Source organism: Homo sapiens, chromosome 9, assembly GCF_000001405.40.
Source record: "Homo sapiens chromosome 9, GRCh38.p14 Primary Assembly".
NCBI classification, from domain to species: Eukaryota; Metazoa; Chordata; class Mammalia; order Primates; family Hominidae; genus Homo; species Homo sapiens.
The window spans coordinates 33,286,983-33,306,325 of NC_000009.12; the positions used below are offsets into that span (position 1 = coordinate 33,286,983).

A 19,343-nucleotide genomic window follows, 5' to 3' on the forward strand; every position below is an offset into this window, starting at 1 on the left:
AAATAGTTTGTATAGGAAAGGCAAGATAAATGCTTGCTTACTTTCATTTATTCACAAGTTTTGAAAATAATGAGTAGATTCTGTAGAGTGCCAATTATGAATTTGCTTTCAGTTCTACATTTATTGTTTTTGCTTGCTCTGTGAAATGGATTTCGGCCTTTTATTTATTCTTTGCCAGCTGGCAGATATTAAACCTTGTCAGCAGAGGGCACTGGAGAGATACTGCAGGAGGAAAAGGGTTTTGGCTCCTGTTTCTGATTTCAGTGGGGCAGGCTTCTGTAGTCTGGGCAACTTCTTCAATGGCTTCTGCAATGCACTGGCTTCTTCAGTGCCTGGCTATCGCACTATATAGTGACCAGTTGTCAGAAACTTCTCCTAGCACTCCCCGCAGATGGTTTGTAGTAGAGTACCTCTGGTGAGACACCTCCCCAAGAATGGCTTCAACCAGCACTCCGTAAGAAAAATGTCTGGCAACTTCCATGCCATCCAGTGAGCCACAGGTCTTTTCTCTAACGAGGTCTGCAGGCCAGCTCTGGTCTCGGCTCTTCTTTGACACTCTTACCTCAGCCCTAGCTGCTCTTTATATATGGTAATCCTGTTTTGGAATTATCTTGCTTCTTTACTAGCCAATCCATTATTATTCCAACCCCCTATTATACTTAATAAATCTTTAAATAAAACTTTCCTTATTAAAAAAATGTAATTCCTGTTCAAAAAGTGGGGTTCTTCTCTCCTGATTGGACCCAGACTGATACACCTGGTAATTTTTAAAGGTGACTATAAAGTTTGATGAGCTGTCAAAATTAAGGATTTATGTTCAACAAAGGACAAAATTAATATTTAATGGAATAGAAGACAATTTAAATGTCTAAAACTGACGAGTGACACCTGTAATATACAAGAAACCATCAGGAAGAAAAATGGGCAGTGGATATGGATAAGCAGTTTTAAAAGGAGGAAACTCAAAAGACCATCATTAAATGTTTGGCCCGGCACGGTGGCTCACGCCTGTAATCCCAACACTTTGGGAGGCCTAGGTGGGTGGATCACCTGAGGTCAGGAGTTCAAGACCAGCTGGCCAACAGGATGAAACCCCGTCTCTACTAAAAATACAAAAATTAGCCGGGCGTGGTGGTGGGTGCCTGTAATCCCAGCTACTTGGGAGGCTGAGGCGCAAGAATCGCTTGAACCCGGGAGGCAGTTTGCAGTGAGCCGAGATGGTGCCACTTCACTCCAGCCTAGGCGACAGAGTGATAAGATTCCTTTTATTTTTCAAACCAATGGGGCTGTGTCTGTTGTCCCCCTCGGTCCCCAGGGGTGGGGGGGCCTTGGAAGGCAGGGTGGTGTTGGGGGGCTGGGGGGCAGGCTGAGTGTGTGTGTGTGTGTGTGTGTGGGTGTGGGTGTGTGTGGAGTGTGGGTGTAGGACTCCAGTCCCAGCTGCTGCCTAGGCTCCTGTGGGTCCGACCGGGTTCCCCCTCCCCTGTCCACCTTCCCCAACAGGGCTATAGTTTCAGGGTGTCCCAGGCCTTGGCTGGTTGGCTGGGCCCAGCTCCTGGGGGCTGGGCAGGGCAGGGCAGGGCAGGGCCGGGTCCACTTCCATTGTTAGCAGTTGTTTGCAGAATTTTCTCTGTTACCATTCCTCTCTTTTTGTTCTCGCCCAGAGTGGGTGGTTTTTTGTTGTTGTTTTAGATTTTCATGTGAAGGCAGAGAGTTTTTTTTCTTTTTTAACTCCCCATCCCCCTATGCGGGGTGTCATTTCACCATCCACATCCTTGTTTGCGTTTCTGGCCCTCGTCCTCCCTGCCTCTCCTCTGCCTCCCCAACCCCCGCCTACCTACTGCTCCCAGGGGTCTCTCCAGGGGCAGGGGGATTTCAGGAGATGGGGTGGGGGCCAGCCCCTACTGGACCCTTGTAATCTGATTTGAAGACCATCCCCCTGATGGGACCAGCAGCCCCGCTGGCCCACTGGGGGTCCCTCTTAACATCTGCTTGTTGTGGGGGTCAGTGCCACGGTCTGCTGGGGTCTTGGCACTGTCTTCCTGGCCGGGGCCTGGCACCTTAGCCCCCAGCCGGCCCGAGTGGGGGATATCGACACCCCCAGCTAAAGCACAAGCACCTTAGTCATCCCTCCTCTCCCCCTGCCTCCTGGCCTGCCACCCCACCCCAGCGTTTACCCCAAAGCACAATGCCCTGGTCACTTGGCAAGTGGCTGGGCCTGACGGAGGCCAAGGGGCAGACCGGGGCTCCAGCCAGACCCCCGAAAGGAAGCAGGTGCTCCCCCACTTCCAGGACTTAGTTGGGGCGGGGGGCCCAGCTCCTGGGCCTAGGGTCTTCTCACCCCCACCCCCTTGTCCTGGGTAGGCCCCTGCCTGCCCCTCTCTGCCTTTTCCTCGGGTGTCCCTCCTCGAGCCCCTGCGGCACTGGCTTGGGTGGCAGAGCCCACTTGTTTCAGGGACCCCAGGAGGTGGTGCCCCCTGGCTCCTGGGACTGTGTGTGGGTCTGGGGGGTGGGGGGGTGGGGAGAAGCGTCGGGCAGGGGGTGCAGGGGAGGAAACTCCTCACCAGGAAAGCCAAAGACAGGGTTGTGCCTTACCTCAGGAGCCACCCGTTCCCCCTTGCCCTGCCGTTCACCCTCCACCTTTCCCCCCGGGCGGCCTGCTGCTTTTTCCTTCTCTTCCTCCCCTGCCCTGCCCTGAGCTGCATGGTTCCCCTACCCTGGGAAGCCAGGAAGGAATCTGAATGGAGAATCACCAACCACCAAAGAAAAAAAGACTGCGGGGCCCTCCCCTGCCAACTCCCCTTCCCTGGCCGCCCACTCACCCACACCTCTTTCACGCAGGACAGGCTGCCCACCCTGTCCACGTGAAGTGCCAACGCCCTCCCCACCCTGGGCCGAGCCCCCACCCCTCCCTGGGCCCCCAAGTGAGATTGCACATTTAACTACTGTAAGGAGAGGAGCGGCGTTGGCAAATGTGAACCATGAGAATATCGGTGATACTGATGAGAATAAACGCCTTTGTAAAAAAAAAAAAAAAAAAAAAAGTCTGGAGCCAGGCGTGGTGGCTCGCCTGTAAGCCAAGCACTTTAGGAGGCCAAAGCGGCAGGATCGCTTGAGGCCAGGAGTTGGAGAGACTAGCCTGGGCAACATGGCGAAACCCGTCTCTACTAAAAATAGCTGCGCATGGTGGCTCCGCCTGTAGTTCCAGCTACCGGAAGGCTGAGGCGGGAGGATTAGAGACTGAAGCTATAGTGAGCCATGATCAGACCACTGCACTCAAGCCTGGGTAAGGCAGCAAGACCCTATATCAAAAAATAAAAAAAGGAAAACCACAATGATTACGCAAGTCGCCGCCCTCCCTCCTGCGATTGTTGCTATTTCCATCCAGCTACTAGTCTCCTCCTCCCGCCCGACACCTGGCGCGTCTATCTGACGTCACGAACGCGCCACACAGATTCGGGCTGCGCAACCTCTGTGGCCGTCTACACGGCGCGCAGATGCGAATATTCTCGCGGCGCCGGAAGTCCGGGGCACGTGACCTGGTGACAGTGCTGACTTGGCTGTACAGCTCGATCTAGGTTCTGCGGCACGGGATGGCGGAGGCGCCTCCTGTCTCAGGTATTGTCCCGGCCCGAGCGGGACTGGGCCCCTTTCAGGGAGCGGAAATTGGGTCAGTGACGAAGTTCTAGGGCCTCAGCCACTCATATCGCGAGAGTAGCACATGCTAGGGCGTAGGATAGTGGCTCGGAAGGGCCAAGCCCCGCGCATCGTGCGTACGAAGATCTGTGTCTTCTTGGACTAGATGGTGAAGCCCAGTAGCTGGGTTTCGGAGGAGAGAGGACTTGTCCCGGCGCTGCGAGTCGATGTGGGTGCCCTGCCTTCCCACAGGCTGTTTCTGGGGCAGCGGCGCACTGACCTTCGACAGGCGGGCGTCGGCCAGGTCACAGCCAGTGACGGTGGCGGGCTCTTGACGTGTAGGGTGTGGTGTGCTCATACCGCCTGGAGTGGTGGCGTGGGCGCGAGCCGAATTCCAGTAGTTTAGAGTCTCAGCCTGCTGCGAACCCCGTGTGACTCAGTCTCAGTCTCCTCATCTGTCAGTTGGGAGTAGATAAGTTAATTCCTGTGATGGCTCCCGCCCTGTACTGTACCTATTCTGTAATTGTTCACTCACTCCCCCTCCTGGAGTTGCCTCAGTGTGTAGAGACAGCCTCATTTGTTCGTTGATATAACATCCATTTCCTCAGGGTGTTCCATAGATCAGTGTTTTCCAAATGTGTTGGACAGCAACCAAAAGAAACATTTTGCATCGCGACCTTAAATATTGTACACTTACATAAATATAAAAGCGAACCAGAAGTTTCTGGAAGCAGTGAGGTTGGTTGGTTTGTTTTACAATCAGCAATATATTCTGTTTTCTGTTTCGTTTAAAAATATGTCACAGCCCACTGCCTTCATTTGATTTTATGGCCCACTCTGGAAAACAGGGCAGCAGTTTGCAGAATGGAGTTTGGAAACCATTGGTTTGAATCTCAGCTCTGTCCCTGACCAGCCGTTGGGGCACCAAGAAGACCATATATGTATTTGTATACTGGGTGGCAGGTAAAATGTATTTATTACTATGGTTCTTAGTTTAAAAAGTTAGGGCCGGGCGTGGTGGCTCACGCCTGTAATCCTAGCACTTTGGGAGGCCGAGGTGGACGGATCACGAGGTCAGGAGATCGAGACCATCCTGGCTAACACGGTGAAACCCCGTCTCTACTAAAAATACAAAAAATTAGCTGGGCATGGTGGCACGCGCCTGTAGTCCCAGCTACTCCGGAGGCTGAGGCAAGAGAATTGCTTGAACCCTGGAGGCGGAAGTTGCAGTGAGCCAAGATCGTGCCACTGCACTCCAGCCTGGGCGACAGAGTGTGACTTCGTCTCAAAAAAAAAAGTTGGAAAACACACTGCATTGGTGTACCCTAGTCTTGATGTGGATATTAAGTCTTCCTTGGGGTTGGAAAACTTTTTGGGCTGGGTATTTTGTTATTCTCCTCACCTAGTCCTTCACCAGATTCTCTAAACTGGATCTATTGATCGTCTCATCCACAGGCTCGTTTCTGACTCATTTCTGTACCCTTCAGTGTTTGAAGAAGAATTCGGTGGGGCCTAGTTGTGAGTCTTCGTGTTGAACTTTGGTGTTGTGCCCAAGTTATTACCTCCAACCCAGAAAGTATCTAATGAGGCAAAATCTTCTAGTCCAAAGACCTCCTTACTCCTTTTCATGTGCTTTAGTTTGATTTTGCTTTAGTTCCCATTCCATGTTCGTATTTTAGCATCATCTTTAGCCCACACCCTCATCATCAAAGTCTTTAAACAGAAGCCCAGTGCAGAGGATACTTTTCTGCCGGTGAGCAGACTCTGCAATGCCAGCCTTGTCTCTGGACTTTGTAATCTGCCAGTTGGATTTCCCTTTAGTCTGCCTTTCCCACCTGTTGGACACCTACTGTGCTGCTGTGTTATCTTGGATTTAGGGTACCACTTGTATTCTAGCCGTGGTGACTAGACATCCTGTTTACTAACTTCCAGCTACTTGAAATAGTGAAATAAAAATGGTGCCTCTGATCTTTGCCATGGCCAGTTTCCTGATCAATGTGTCCTGTTTCCCTTCCTCATGTCTCTTATGGGTTTTTTTCCTGAGGGCTTTGCCTGCTGCCTCATGTCTAGTTGAACATATCCTGTATATGAGTACATGCAGCCTTCTCTGGATTCTCTAGTTGCATCAACTCATTACTGCTTAACGAGAAACACTCTTTTCCTATCCTTTACTAGGCTTCTCTAGACATCTTTACTGATCTTATTTCTGCCCCTCTTTCCAGTCTCGCTTTTTCAAGCAAGCGAGAACTACACAATACCCACTGGTCCAATTTAACCATTCCAACCTTTAAATTATCTTATGTTTCCAGAATACCTCTGCCACCCTCTGCATTTGTCTAATCCTTTTGTGATTTTGTGAGGCCCTCCATCCCATCCCCTAGAATTCTGCCTATGTGAAAGCTTTCAGGACAAATCCTGAATTGGGTGAGAGGTTACTCTATGACCTTTATGATCATTCCATTTTTCACTGTATGTTTCTATGGTACCCACTGCCCAAGCTCTGTTAGTGTAAGAGCGCAGTCTCTAATACACAAACTGAGTTGGAACCCCGAGTCTTCCTTGGAATTCCTCTGTGGCCTTGGGCAAGTTCCTACTCTCTGTGCTTCAGTTTTCTCATCAGGAATGTAAGGATTAAATGAGTTAATACATGTAAAGTGCTTAGGATAGTGCCTGGCACATAATACCTAATAAATGTTAGGCCTTATTATTAAACCTGAAACCCTCAGGCTCTATACTGCACCCATCAATGCTCAAGCCTGTGTGTTTCAGATCCTCTGTAGTCCTAACAGCAATGATAGAGTACCATTTTAACCATTTTGTGTGTGTTATTAACTTGCTTTACTCTTCACTGCAACTCTTTGATATAGAGGTTGTTACTATCTTCATTACATGTAAGGAAAATGGGGCTAAGTAACTTTCCTGAAGTTAAAATAAGTGATAAGTGACTTAAACCCATGTCTTCCAGGTCTTACCAATTTATAGTATATTCTGTATGCTACACATAGTTCTGACTTTGCTACTAATTTTATGTCCTTAGGCAAACCATTTTGTCTTTGTGCTTCAGGGACTGAATTGACTGTACCAAGAAGCATCTTCTGGGGGAACATGAGTGGGTTGAAGGGGAGTATGCTTAATTTTTTCCACTTTGGGATTGTAGACCAGATTATAGAGGTTATGTATGGAAAACCCAAAATATATTCCTAGGGGAAAGAGATGAAAACTAATACACTTATTAAGTACTATCTATGAAATCATATTTAAATTTCTCAGTAACCGTTGAAATAAGTATTGTCATCCTTTACCATAGACAAGGAAACTAAGGCTAAAAGCAGGCACGTGATATCCCTAAGTTCATACAATAAGTTGGACAGGTGGACTTTAACCCATTTTGGCTTAGTCCAAAGCCTGTTTACTTGATATTACACAATGCTACTTTACTGTTTTGAAAGAAGACCACATGGAACCTGATGATTGATACCCCTGAACTGTTAGCTGGCCTTAAATTTTTGTAATAAAATGAATAGATGTATACATAGTACTTTATGGCCCAGGTGAGCATTTTTACTCGACAACACTTAGCTGTCATTGGCTATTGGTGTTTGGTTTTTGGACATGGAATAATGATTGATTAGTCCTCCACAAGCACCTTGAACCCATCACCTTCACTGGAAACATAGTTCTTACTTAACAGCATGTTTTATACAAAGTTCTAAGGAAAGTAATTTTTAGATTTGGCTTGGAGTCTATGAGTTTCATGGATGAAGTTTAATCTCTTTACTGGCATGTCTATTTTTTATGTCCTAGGTACTTTTAAATTCAATACAGATGCTGCTGAATTCATTCCTCAGGAGAAAAAAAATTCTGGTCTAAATTGTGGGACTCAAAGGAGACTAGACTCTAATAGGATTGGTAGAAGAAATTACAGTTCACCACCTCCCTGTCACCTTTCCAGGCAGGTCCCTTATGATGAAATCTCTGCTGTTCATCAGCATAGTTATCATCCGTCAGGAAGCAAACCTAAGAGTCAGCAGACGTCTTTCCAGTCCTCTCCTTGTAATAAATCGCCCAAGAGCCATGGCCTTCAGAATCAACCTTGGCAGAAATTGAGGAATGAGAAGCACCATATCAGAGTCAAGAAAGCACAGAGTCTTGCTGAGCAGACCTCAGATACAGCTGGATTAGAGAGCTCGACCAGATCAGAGAGTGGGACAGACCTCAGAGAGCATAGTCCTTCTGAGAGTGAGAAGGAAGTTGTGGGTGCAGATCCCAGGGGAGCAAAACCCAAAAAAGCAACACAGTTTGTATACAGCTATGGTAGAGGACCAAAAGTCAAGGGGAAACTCAAATGTGAATGGAGTAACCGAACAACTCCAAAACCGGAGGATGCTGGACCCGAAAGTACCAAACCTGTGGGGGTTTTCCACCCTGACTCTTCAGAGGCATCCTCTAGAAAAGGAGTATTGGATGGGTATGGAGCCAGACGAAATGAGCAGAGAAGATACCCACAGAAAAGGCCTCCCTGGGAAGTGGAGGGGGCCAGGCCACGACCAGGCAGAAATCCACCAAAACAGGAGGGCCACCGACATACAAACGCAGGACACAGAAACAACATGGGCCCCATTCCAAAGGATGACCTCAATGAAAGACCAGCAAAATCTACCTGTGACAGTGAGAACTTGGCAGTCATCAACAAGTCTTCCAGGAGGGTTGACCAAGAGAAATGCACTGTACGGAGGCAGGATCCTCAAGTAGTATCTCCTTTCTCCCGAGGCAAACAGAACCATGTGCTAAAGAATGTGGAAACGCACACAGGTAAACCTACCTAGATAGGAAATATTTTGTTGTCTTTTTAATTTAAATTTTTAAATAAGTCATATATTCACATAATTTAGAAAGCAGAAAGTATGGAAAGTTACACTGTAAAAAGTCTCAATCTTTATTCACTGTCTGCCTAAGTTCTACCACCACTCGCTGCTCCCTGCCCCAATAGGTAACCACTTAGTTTTATGCATATCACAAGCAAATACAAATAAGAATTCTTTTTCTTTTCCAAATGAGGAATTTTGTAAGGGTTTTCAAAAATGCAAATACGGGTGGTGTAGATGTCTGGTTACAAGATTTTTTTTGAGTTGTGAAAACAAGTGGTGGGTGGTAACATCTCTGCTGCCTCTTTTGGTTTCATCCTGCATCATCTAATCTGCCTCATCTGGTCTGCTTAGTTGCAGCAGTTCCTAACTGGTCTTATCATCTCTTAATTTCTCTCTTTCAGTTCACCTCTTAAACCAGCATCAGAGAGCAATCTTTATAAAACACATATTTTATTTATTTGTTTTTTTGAGAGGAGTCTCACTGTTGCCCAGGCTAGAGTGCAGTGGTGCGATCCCAGCTCACTGCAACTCCTCCTGGGTTCAGATGATTCTCCTGCATCAGCCTCCCGAGTAGCTGGGATTACAGGCGCCCGCCACCATGCTTGGCTGATTTTTGTATTTTTAGTAGAAATGGGGTTTCACCATGTTGGCCAGGCTAGTCTCAAACTTCTGACCTCGGGTGATCCGCCTCGGCTTCCCAAAGTGCTGAGATTACAGGCGTGAGCCACTGCGCCCTGCCTAAAACACACATTAAACTGTGTCACTCCTCTGCTTAATTCCGTTTACTGCTTCTGCCTTACTCAACAGTCCCATCTTCTGCTGCCTCAATATCTACCACATTTTATTCCCTGGATTCTACACTTTTTTGTCTTTGCATGGTGTTGCATGTGGCTCCCTCTCTTTAGAATTTCTGTCACTCAGTTCGCTGACGAAGTCTTACTCATTTTTCAAAAGCTACTTTAGGCCAGGCATGGTGGCTCACACCTGTAATTCCTGCACTTGGGGAGGCTGAGGTGAGAGGATCACTTGAACACAGGTGTTCAAGACCAGCCTGGGCAACATAAGGAGACCCTGTCACTACAAAAGAATTAAAATAAAAAAATTAGCCAGGCATGTTAGCACATGCCTGTAGTCCCAGACACTCAGGAAGCTGAAGTGAGAGGATCACTTGAGCCCAGGAGATCGAGGCTGCAGTGAGCTATTGTACTCCAGCCTGGATAACAGAGCAAGACCCTGTTTTGCGGGGGGAAAAAAGTTACTTTAGTCACATGTCCAGGGAACCTTTTCTCACCTTTATAGATAGCGTTAATCTCTTACAGCCCTCACGCTTATGTCTTTCTCTTAAATTTGCATGCTTCTATTACAGAACTTACACTGGAAACCATAATTTATTTATGCTTCATTGTCCTCCACTAGTCTGTAAGCTCCTTAAAAACAGACACTGTATATTTCTTTTCTTTTTTTGTGACCCTGCTGCCCCACACAGCTCTTGAAACATAGTAGGTACTCAGTTCTGACCATTAAAAAGTTCATCCTTATATTGAACTGAAAGCTTCTTTCCTTTCCTTCCTATCCTTTGGTTCAAGTTTTATCCTCCGGAGCAGCATAGTAACTAGTCTGTCTTCTCACAGCTCCCCCTCTCCTTACTGCAAATCAGCTTTTTGCAGTATTCGAAGACATCTATCATTTTGCCCTAAGTGTATATTTCATCAAGCTGAATAGTTTTATTCTGCTAGCTCTTCCTCCTGGACCTTCACTATCTTAATCCCTCTCCAGTTTAATGTGAGATACAGCCCAACCCTTGAAGCCACCATCTACCCAGGGCCTGTTTTTACACCAGCCTATAGTTCTAGTTTCTTGCTTTATCAGGATTATTCTTGGAACCTCAATGTATATGTGAAGCAAAGCAATGTTATACCAGAGTTGTTACTGAATCCTTAAGGCTGGTTAATAATTACCTCTTGCTTTATAGTGAATTATCACAATGTAGTGGCTTATGATAACACACATTTACTATGCCACTGTTTCTGTGGGTCAGATGAATGGGTCCTGGTTAGCTGGGTTCTCTGCTCAGTGTCTCCAAATTTGGCTAGGCATGTGATCTCATCTGAGGCTCAGGGTTCTCTTTCAGTCACTGGTTGTTGGTAGGATTCAGTTCCTTACAGATGTAGGACTGAGGTTCCTGTTTTCTTGCTGGCTGTTGGCCAGGGGTGTCTCTCTCAGCTCCTAGAGGCCACCTGTGTTTCCCTGCCACATGACTCTGTACACAACATGATAGTTTGCTTCTTTGAGGCCTGCGGGAAAGCAGCTGCTGCCACTTCAGATCTCTCTGACTTCTGTTTGATTTTCAACTCTTTTAAAATGGCTTACTTGATTAAGTCAGGCCCACCCATACTCAAGGGGAGGAGATTATATAGGGTATGCATACCAGGGAGGTGGGAATCTGGAAGACCATCTTAGAATTCTATTTAACAAATCTCTTGGGGCCTTAACATTCTCACATTATTCATATCATTTTTGAGAACACTTCATTCATATTTGTTGCATAAATACTATATACCAAGCACTGTTCTAGGTACAGGGAATGCTGATGGAATTTACATTCTGGTAGGGAAGACAGGCAGAAAGCACTTAGATATTTAATATGTCAGGTGGTGATAAGGACTAAAAAGAAATATTAAGAAGGTTAAGAAGACAGAGTGACAAGAGTGCTATTTTACATAGGTTGACCTCTTTGATAAGGAGACATTTGAACAGAGACAAGAATGAAGTACAGAAATGCACCATGTGGCTAGCTTGAGAAAGAGCATTCTAGGCAGAGGGAGGAGCAAATTTAGATGTGGGGAGGGGTATTATAGGCAATGAAGATAGGGGCAGGAAAGGTGGTCAGAGAAATAGCAAGGGCTGGATCATGTGAGTCCCTTGGATTTGGTTCTGAGTAAGATGAGAGGCTGCTGGAAGGTCCTGGGAAGAGGGATGTCATGAACTTACATTCTAAAATAATCACTTAGGGTCTGGATGTGGTGGCTCACATCTGTAATCCCAGCACTTTGGAAGGCCAAGGCAGAAGGATTGCTTAAGCCCAGGAGTTCAAGACCTGCCTGGACAACTTAATGAGACCCCATCTCTGCAAAAGGCAAAAAAATAAAAATTAGCTGGACGTGGTGGCACATGCCTATAGTCCCAGCTACTCAAGAGGTTGAACTAGGAGGATCGCTTGAGCCCAGTGGGTCAAGGCTGCAGTAAGTAGTGGTTGTGCCACTGCACTCTAGCCTGGGTGACAGAATAAGAACCTGTCTCAAAAAAAAAAATATTATTAAGCTGCTGTGTGGAGAATAGGCTCTAAGAAGGCAACAGGACAAGTTAGGAGGCTATTGCAGTTGTTCAGGTAGGAGATGATGGAGACTTAGACTGGAGTAATAGTGTGGAAAAGGTAACAATTGGATAGATTTTGGATGTATTTGGAAGGAAGATTTTATGCCTGAGCAACTTAAAAGAATGGAATTGGCATTTACTGAAGTGTCAAAGCCTAGTAGAGAAAAAGGTGTTTGTCTGTAAAATGTTTCAGTTTGGAATAATTTCAGATTTATAGAAAAGTTGCAAAGATAGTTCAAAGAATTCCCATATATCTTTCACCCAACTTCCTCTAATGTTAACGTCTTACATAACCAGACTGCCTTTGTTAAAACTAAGAAATTAGCACTGGTATAATCATATTAACTAAACTACAGATGTTATTCAGATTTCACCAGTTTTTCTGCCAATGTCCTTTTTCTGTTTGAGGACCCAATCCAGGATACCACGTTGCATTTAGTCATGTCTCCTGAGTCTCCTACCATCTCTGACAGTTTCTTCATCTTTCCTTTTTGGAAAAGATGTTTCTGCTCTTGTTTTATTTACTTCTTATTCAGGGAAGATTTTTGTTTAATTTGGTTAAATTTCTGTAATCCCAGTACTTTGGGAAACCGAGTCAAGAGGATCACCTGAGCCCAGGAGTTCAAGACCATCCTGGGCAACAGAGGTAGACCCCATCTCTACAAAAACTAACAAAAAAATCAGCCAGGTATAGTGGCACACGCTTGTGGTCCCAGCTACTCAGGATGCTGAGGTGGGAGGATCGCTTGGGCCCAGGAGTTTGAAGATGCAGTGAGCCACGATCATGCCACTGCACTCGAGCCTAAACTTTGGTGACGCCTGTAACTTTCACAGAAAGAGGTTGTGGAACAGACTAAATATCACTCATTTATTCCTTTATCCATGAATTTAACAAATATTTAATGGAGCACCTAGTATATGCCAGACACTGGAAATACTACACTCAGCAAGGTAGACAAAACTCTCCCTTCTCCTGAGCTTTCAGTCTCAGGGTGTTCTCTATTTCTTTTGACATTAAACTGAACAATCAGAAAGTAAATCTTAGGAGAGCCAATATTATGGAATATTACAGTGTGCGCTTTTGAGTCAGATAGTTTGACAAGTTTGAATTTTGACTTTTAAATTTCTAGTTGTGTGACCTTGGATAAATGATCTAACTACATGAAGCCAGTTTCTTCATCTGTAAAATGGTACCTATGTTATAGCATTTTTTTTTTTTTTTTTTTTTTTTTTGAGACGGAGTCTCACTCTGGAGTGCAGTGGTGCAATCTCGGCTCACTGCAACCTCCGCCCCCGGGTTCAAGAGATTCTCCTGCCTCATCCTCCTTGGATTACTACTGGGATTACAGCCACACTCCACCACGCCCAGCTAATTTTTGTATTCTTAGTAGAGATGGGGTTTCACCATGTTGGCCAGGATGGTCTTGATCTCCCGACCTCATGATCTGCCCGCCTTGGCCTCCCAAAGTGCTGGTATTACAGGTGTAAGCCACCGTGTCCAACCTGTTACAGCCTTTTTGAGAGGACTAAATAATAATATGTAATGTGCTTGCAATGTTGTATTTAAGGTTAATTTTATTCTTTTAACTTATTTAGACCTGAAAGCAAATAACAATAATATTATGAAATAAATGCAGTGCTAAAAGTATGTACTCAAAAAAGCATATACACACACTCACACTCAGTTTTGAGAGTATCTGGCTGTATTGAAATCTAGAAAGACTTTGCTGCAATTGTGTTTGAGGAAAAAAATCTGGAAGTGGGTGAAGGTATTCAGGAATAGATCTGGGAGGATTATTCTGATACTACACACTGGTCTGTGTCACTGGACTTTGAGCTCCTGGAGCCAGGGACTGTAACACCACCATGGGGCTTATGGTAGGCACCAAGAATATCTTTGTTAAGTGAATGACTAAAGACTTTGAGGGCAACGGCTAGAGCCATCTCACCACTCATGGGTTGTTGGAACCTGCCCAGACTTGGGCTTCTTATAGCTGACACTACAGCTTCACGAGCCTCTTTCTAACCTAAATCCATGGATCTGATAGATTTAGAGGATCCTGGAAAATAGAAAATGCAAAGCAAGATCCTGTATTGCCCAGTGGATCCTCAGGCTATGTTACAAGGGGCATTTGGCTACTCTGCTGTTTTCCTGGGAATGTTTCCTTAATTGTGGGAATCCCCACCTGAGTGTCTCCTTCCTAAATCCTCTTCCTCAGCAAATTCCTGCCCCTTTTTGGCCTCAGTCTGAATAGCCAGCTGCCTTACCCAGAATCAGATATCCCTTAAAATCTCTGTGTTTGGATTCTTCTCTTGAGTGACTTGCTGATCCTTGGTTGATTAAAGTGAGGAATGGTTTTTTGTGTTTGAGTTAATCTTTTTTGTTATTTTGTTTTTTAAACAGGTTCTCTAATTGAACAACTAACAACAGAAAAATACGAGTGCATGGTGTGCTGTGAATTGGTTCGTGTCACGGCCCCAGTGTGGAGTTGTCAGAGCTGTTACCATGTGTTTCATTTGAACTGCATAAAGAAATGGGCAAGGTCTCCAGCATCTCAAGCAGGTCAATTAATTCTCTCTTCTGAGTAGTTATTCTCCCCTATTTGATACGTTTAAGTATTATTAAGCCCAGCTTTAAAAATACAGTTTAATTTCTCTTAACTACTTTTTCTGCAGGGAGAGTATGTTACCTTGATCATGTGTTTCATATGACCAGAATTAAGTTATAGATCTTAAATAAACCAGCTAAACAACAATATTAAAATATATTTTAAGATACGACAAAATCAGTCACTCTTATTGAAAATGATGGCTTTTACTTATTATTTTTTCTTTGACCTACTGATTTTATTTCCTGTGGATACATAAACAGAAGTGTGATTGCAGGATCATATGGTAATTCTATTTTTAATTTATCTTCTTCTCATTTTTGGCCAGGCATGATGGCTCACGCCTGTAATCCCAGCGCTTTGGGAGGCCAAGGCAGGCGGATCATCTGAAGTCAGAAGTTCAAGATTAGCCTGGCCAACATGGCAAAACTCCATCTCTACTAAAGATATAAAAATTAGCCAGGCGTGGTGGCGGGCACCTGTAATCCCAGCTACTCGGGAGGCTGAGGCACAAGAATTGCTTGAATCCAGGAGGTGGAGATTGCAGTGATCTGAGATTGCACCACTGCCCTCCAGCCTGGGTGACAGAGCAAGACCCTGTCTCAAACAAACAAAAAAACATTTTTTTTTCATTTTTAAATTTTTACTATGCATACGTAATAGTTTACATGTTTATGGGGTACACATGATATTTTGATACAAGCGTACAATGTGTAATGATCAAATCAGGGTAATTGGCATATGGGGATTCCAACACCTCAAATATTTATCATTTCTTTGTGTTAGGAGCATCCCATTTCTACTCTTCTAGTTATTTTGAAATATATAATAAATTGTTGTTAGCCATAGTGCTACTAAACACTAGATCTTATTCCTTCTATCTAACTGTATTTTTTTTTTTTTTTTTTTTTTGAGACAGAGTCTTACTCTGTTACCCAGGCTGGAGTCCAGTGGTGTGATCATGTCTCACTGCAGCCTTGAATTCCTGGACTCAAATGATCCTCCTGCCTCAGACTCCCAAGCAGCTGAGACTACAGGCACATGCCACCACATCCAGCTAATTTTTTTTTTTTTTGAGACGGTCTGCTGTGTTGCCCAGTCTTGTCTTGAACTCCCAGGCTCAAGCAATTCTGCATCAGCCTCCTAAAATGCTGGGATTAGACACATGAGCCACCATGCCTAGCTAGTGGTTTTTTTTTGTTTGTTTTTGTTTTTTTTTTGAGAGGGAGTCTCACTCTGTTGCCCAGGCTGGAGTGCAGTGGCACGATCTCGGCTCACTGCAGCCTCCACCTCCCAGGTTCAAGTGATTCTTCTGCCTCAGCCTCCTGAGTAGCTGGGATTACAGGCGCGCACCACCACGCCCAGCTAATTTTTGCATTTTTAGTAGAGATGATGTTTCATCATGTTAGCCAGGGTGGTCTCAATCTCCTGACCTTGTGATCCACCCACCTCTGCTTCACAAAGCGCTGGGATTATAGGCATGAGCCACCACACCTGGCCTTTTTTTTTTTTTTTTTTTAATGAACCCCATATTTAGTGGAAAATGCTGTATTCAAGCTAAGCAGTCAGTATTGTGAATTTGTTCCTTAAATGTCTGATATGCTTAACATTGAAATTATTACCACTACTTCAATATTGTGTCTTCCTATAGATTTAAATTTTTTTAATTACATGTAGCTTTTGGAAGAAAATTTATTTGGCCTACTCCCATTTTTCCTGACAGATGGCCAGAGTGGTTGGAGGTGCCCTGCCTGTCAGAATGTTTCTGCACATGTTCCTAATACCTACACTTGTTTCTGTGGTAAGTTTGTTTATATACACTGGAGTCTCTTTTACTACATACATTGTACCTCAGTTCAGGAAAGGTGGTCTGCGGGGCATGTTTTAGAAGTTACTAATGAGACTTCAAAGCTCTAGGAGTCTATAAGACTGTAATTATGTGGTCCATCACACAGCTAGAGCCACAGCCTTTGTGCTCCTGGCAAGCTGTTCTGGAGATGGCCAACCAGGCTCATGCTGCTTCTGGGCTGTAGTGCTTGTCTCCTTGGTCTTGAGACCAGGCCTGACCATGTAGCAGAGATAGGTGTGGACGTGGGCTTCATCTCACCCCCAGCAGTTACAGCTTTGATAGTCCAGATTTGAGCAGTATGAGTAAATAATAGTGTTTATTTTAATCCTGGAAATAAGTCATTGGTATTTATAATCAGATTTTTTATAAACCAGCATTATAAACTCTATCCTGGCATCTTCCCTCTTTATGGAATACTTCTTTCTGTTTTTGAATATCTCAGTTCCCCCAAGTATTAGGGGAAAACTTCTTGTAACCCAGATGCTCATTCTTGCTGCTAGCCCATTTCTGCATGTTTTTTTTCCTTTCCTGCCTTTTAATGACTAACTTCCCTCTAGTTGTTGATTTTTCAGATTTTGTTTCTTTACTGTCTGTCTCCCTCCCTGAAGCATTGCATTTTTGCTTCTGTCTTGTTGCCTCACTGAAACCGTATTCAGAAATTACCAATGGGCCGGGCTTAGTGGCTCACGCCTGTAATCCCAGCACTTTGGGAGGCCAAGGTAGGTGGATCACCTGAGATCAGGAGTTCGACACCAGCCTGGCCAACATGGTGAAACCCCGTCTCTACTAAAATAAGTTAGCTGGGCATAGTGTTGCATGTCTGTAATCCCAGCTACTTGGGAGGCTGAGGCAGGAGAATCGCTTGAACCTGGGAGGCAGAGGTTGCAATGATCCAAGATCATGCCATTGCACTCCAGCCTGGGCGACAGAGTGAGACTCCATCTCAAAAAAATAAATAAATAAAATAAAAACAAAGAAATCACCAATGACTCCTTTCCAGCCATATCTAGGGCTGATTTTATAAGCTCATAATCTTTTTGGTAGAGTGATAGCCCTTGACACCTTTGACCATTCCCTTCTTGAAATAAGTAGCTCTTCCTGTTTGTTTCTGCATGCTCTCCTTATTTTTCTAACCAATTTGCTCATATTTCTCCTTTCCCATTACTTAGCTAGCAGCTTTCACAAAGAGTCAAGTCATTTACCATCAACTCTGAATCTTCTAGATGCAATACCTTGGTGAACTCTTTGACTTCCCCTTCTTTTCTTTCAATTCTTAACCACAGTATCATTTAAGATCTGACCCCAAACACCCTCTTACAAAGGAAGCTTTCCTTTGTTATTCTCTGTCTCACTTTGGCCTCTGTTTTATTTGGAATTTTCCGGTCTTACATGTTTTATTGACAGAATCTCAGCCTTAATAGATACTAAATTGGTATTAGATGAGGGAATAAATATTCTTGAATATACTACCAGAAAGGCAGCATGAAACTGGAAGTAAGAGATCAGTGGAAATTTGGGCAAATAGGACAATACCAATACTTAATACCTTATTTTGAAGGATTACATAAAGTACCACAATGGAATTAAAAATCTTGTTAAAGCCTCTACTGGCAAATTAGATGAGAGACTCTAAGGCAGTATAAGAATGTGGAGTGAAGGTCAAGATGATCTGAAAGTGGTAAAATGATGTGAGAATGCACATAAAGGCCTTATTTGCAGATGACTTTGCCCCACACTGTTCTTCCAGGGGACCATTAATTTAACATGTTTTTATTGAGAACTTATTAATGTTCAAGGCACTGTGAAGAAACAGAGGCGAATAAAACGGTTAACTTACCAGAGCTTACAGTCTAAGAGTTAAAACACAATTAGCCTGATACTCTGCTAGAAGTACAAAGTACTATGGGAGATCTTTGGGGTAGTTACGACTTACAGCTGGATGATTAAGAGAAGCCTTCTTGGAGGAGGTAGAATTGAACTGGCATTGTAAACTAGGTAAAATCTTTGTAGGCAGAAAGATATGTTGAAGGGAATAGCATAGGCAGTTCAAAATCAACAGGGTTTAGGGTATATTGGGAGAAGAGTGATTCATCCACTTACAGAGCCCAGGATCTATGATGGTAGGGGAGTGGGAGATGACTGGAAAGGAAGGGCTGACCCTTTGATACCAGTCTCAGATGTTGGGACTTCATTTGGAAGGCTGTGGGAAGCCACTGAGGGCATCAACATGATTCTTTATGGAGATTAGTTTGGTAGCAGTGAGTAGAGTATTTTGGAGCCTAAATAATTTGGGACTTATAATCCAGATGAAGAGTAGTACAAGCCTCTAAGGAGTGTGATAGAAAAATATGGTGTTAGGTTGATTCCTGACAGTAGTAGGAATGGGAGTCACCCAAAGTTTCATGCTTTTGGAAATGGTGATACCAAGGAAAAGGGCAGGTCAAAAGAAGAAGGTCTGGTGGGGACAGTGACTACAGTTTAGAAATGTTGAGCTGGAGGAGTGAGCAGAACATACAGTGAAATATGTCCAACAGGCAGGTAGCAATATTTGAGGAAAGACCAGGACTTAAGGATGAGAATCACAGCTGAGAGGAGTAGTTAAGACCCTAGCGGATGAAAGGGTACAGAGTGAGAAAAGGGTGTAATGCAGAACACTTGCAGGGGAAAGAAAAGCAAAAAACCCCAAAACATCATTTGGAGTCAGGGACAAAAGGTAGAGCTCTTGAGAGATGTTAGAGGAAAACCAGGGCACTGTATTGGAGCAAAAAAGCACAGAGGCAGGGAGGCTTTTGTGATAGTCTGGAGATGAGGTTTTGGCCAGTTAGAGAGGCAGGAACAGGAGAGCGATGAGGTGAGAGCCACTTTGTAGGAAAAATTGACACAACTTGGTGATTAAGTAGAAAGAGGTGTCAGAGATGACTGTAGTTTTTGAGCGTGTGTGACTCTGACAGAGTTGACGTCACTGACAGAAATAGGAAACCCTGAAAAGGGAGGAGTTATAGAGGGAAG

At 44.5% G+C, this 19,343-nt stretch overlaps 1 protein-coding gene and 1 pseudogene across 6 annotated transcripts in view, besides 6 other annotated features; both read left to right on the plus strand.

Annotated features, from left to right (window-relative positions):
• Positions 1,254-3,021, plus strand: LOC100862682 (nucleus accumbens associated 1, BEN and BTB (POZ) domain containing pseudogene; annotated as a pseudogene).
• Positions 1,463-2,424: an enhancer, noted in NCBI's record as "H3K27ac-H3K4me1 hESC enhancer chr9:33288443-33289404 (GRCh37/hg19 assembly coordinates)". NCBI's record gives its function as "activates a minimal SCP1, AML or CMV promoter by ChIP-STARR-seq in primed H9 embryonic stem cells {active_cell/tissue: H9 hESC(primed)}" and the evidence as "EXISTENCE:reporter gene assay evidence [ECO:0000049][PMID:30033119]".
• Positions 3,130-3,549: an enhancer, noted in NCBI's record as "active region_28292". NCBI's record gives its function as "activates an Ori minimal core promoter by ATAC-STARR-seq in GM12878 lymphoblastoid cells {active_cell/tissue: GM12878}" and the evidence as "EXISTENCE:reporter gene assay evidence [ECO:0000049][PMID:35858748]".
• The window catches only part of NFX1 (nuclear transcription factor, X-box binding 1), an 80,642-nt gene continuing 64,832 nt past the window's right edge, over positions 3,534-19,343 (plus strand). For all 6 annotated transcript variants that reach the window (NM_001318758.2, NM_002504.6, NM_147134.4 and 3 more), the window contains exons 1-4: positions 3,534-3,615; positions 7,438-8,445; positions 14,281-14,439; positions 16,209-16,286. In NM_001318758.2, the coding sequence (NP_001305687.1) occupies positions 3,591-3,615; positions 7,438-8,445; positions 14,281-14,439; positions 16,209-16,286 (1,270 nt within the window). In that variant the 5' untranslated portion in view covers positions 3,534-3,590. The remainder of the gene's footprint in view (positions 3,616-7,437; positions 8,446-14,280; positions 14,440-16,208; positions 16,287-19,343) is intronic.
• Positions 3,560-3,609: an enhancer, noted in NCBI's record as "active region_28293". NCBI's record gives its function as "activates an Ori minimal core promoter by ATAC-STARR-seq in GM12878 lymphoblastoid cells {active_cell/tissue: GM12878}" and the evidence as "EXISTENCE:reporter gene assay evidence [ECO:0000049][PMID:35858748]".
• Positions 3,560-4,778: a biological region, named in NCBI's record as "BRD4-independent group 4 enhancer GRCh37_chr9:33290559-33291758".
• Positions 3,579-4,778: an enhancer, noted in NCBI's record as "BRD4-independent group 4 enhancer chr9:33290559-33291758 (GRCh37/hg19 assembly coordinates)". NCBI's record gives its function as "activates an origin of replication core promoter dependent on BRD2, P300/CBP, MED14 and CDK7 cofactors, and independent of BRD4, by STARR-seq in HCT116 cells {active_cell/tissue: HCT116}" and the evidence as "EXISTENCE:reporter gene assay evidence [ECO:0000049][PMID:35650434]".
• Positions 3,760-3,809: an enhancer, noted in NCBI's record as "active region_28294". NCBI's record gives its function as "activates an Ori minimal core promoter by ATAC-STARR-seq in GM12878 lymphoblastoid cells {active_cell/tissue: GM12878}" and the evidence as "EXISTENCE:reporter gene assay evidence [ECO:0000049][PMID:35858748]".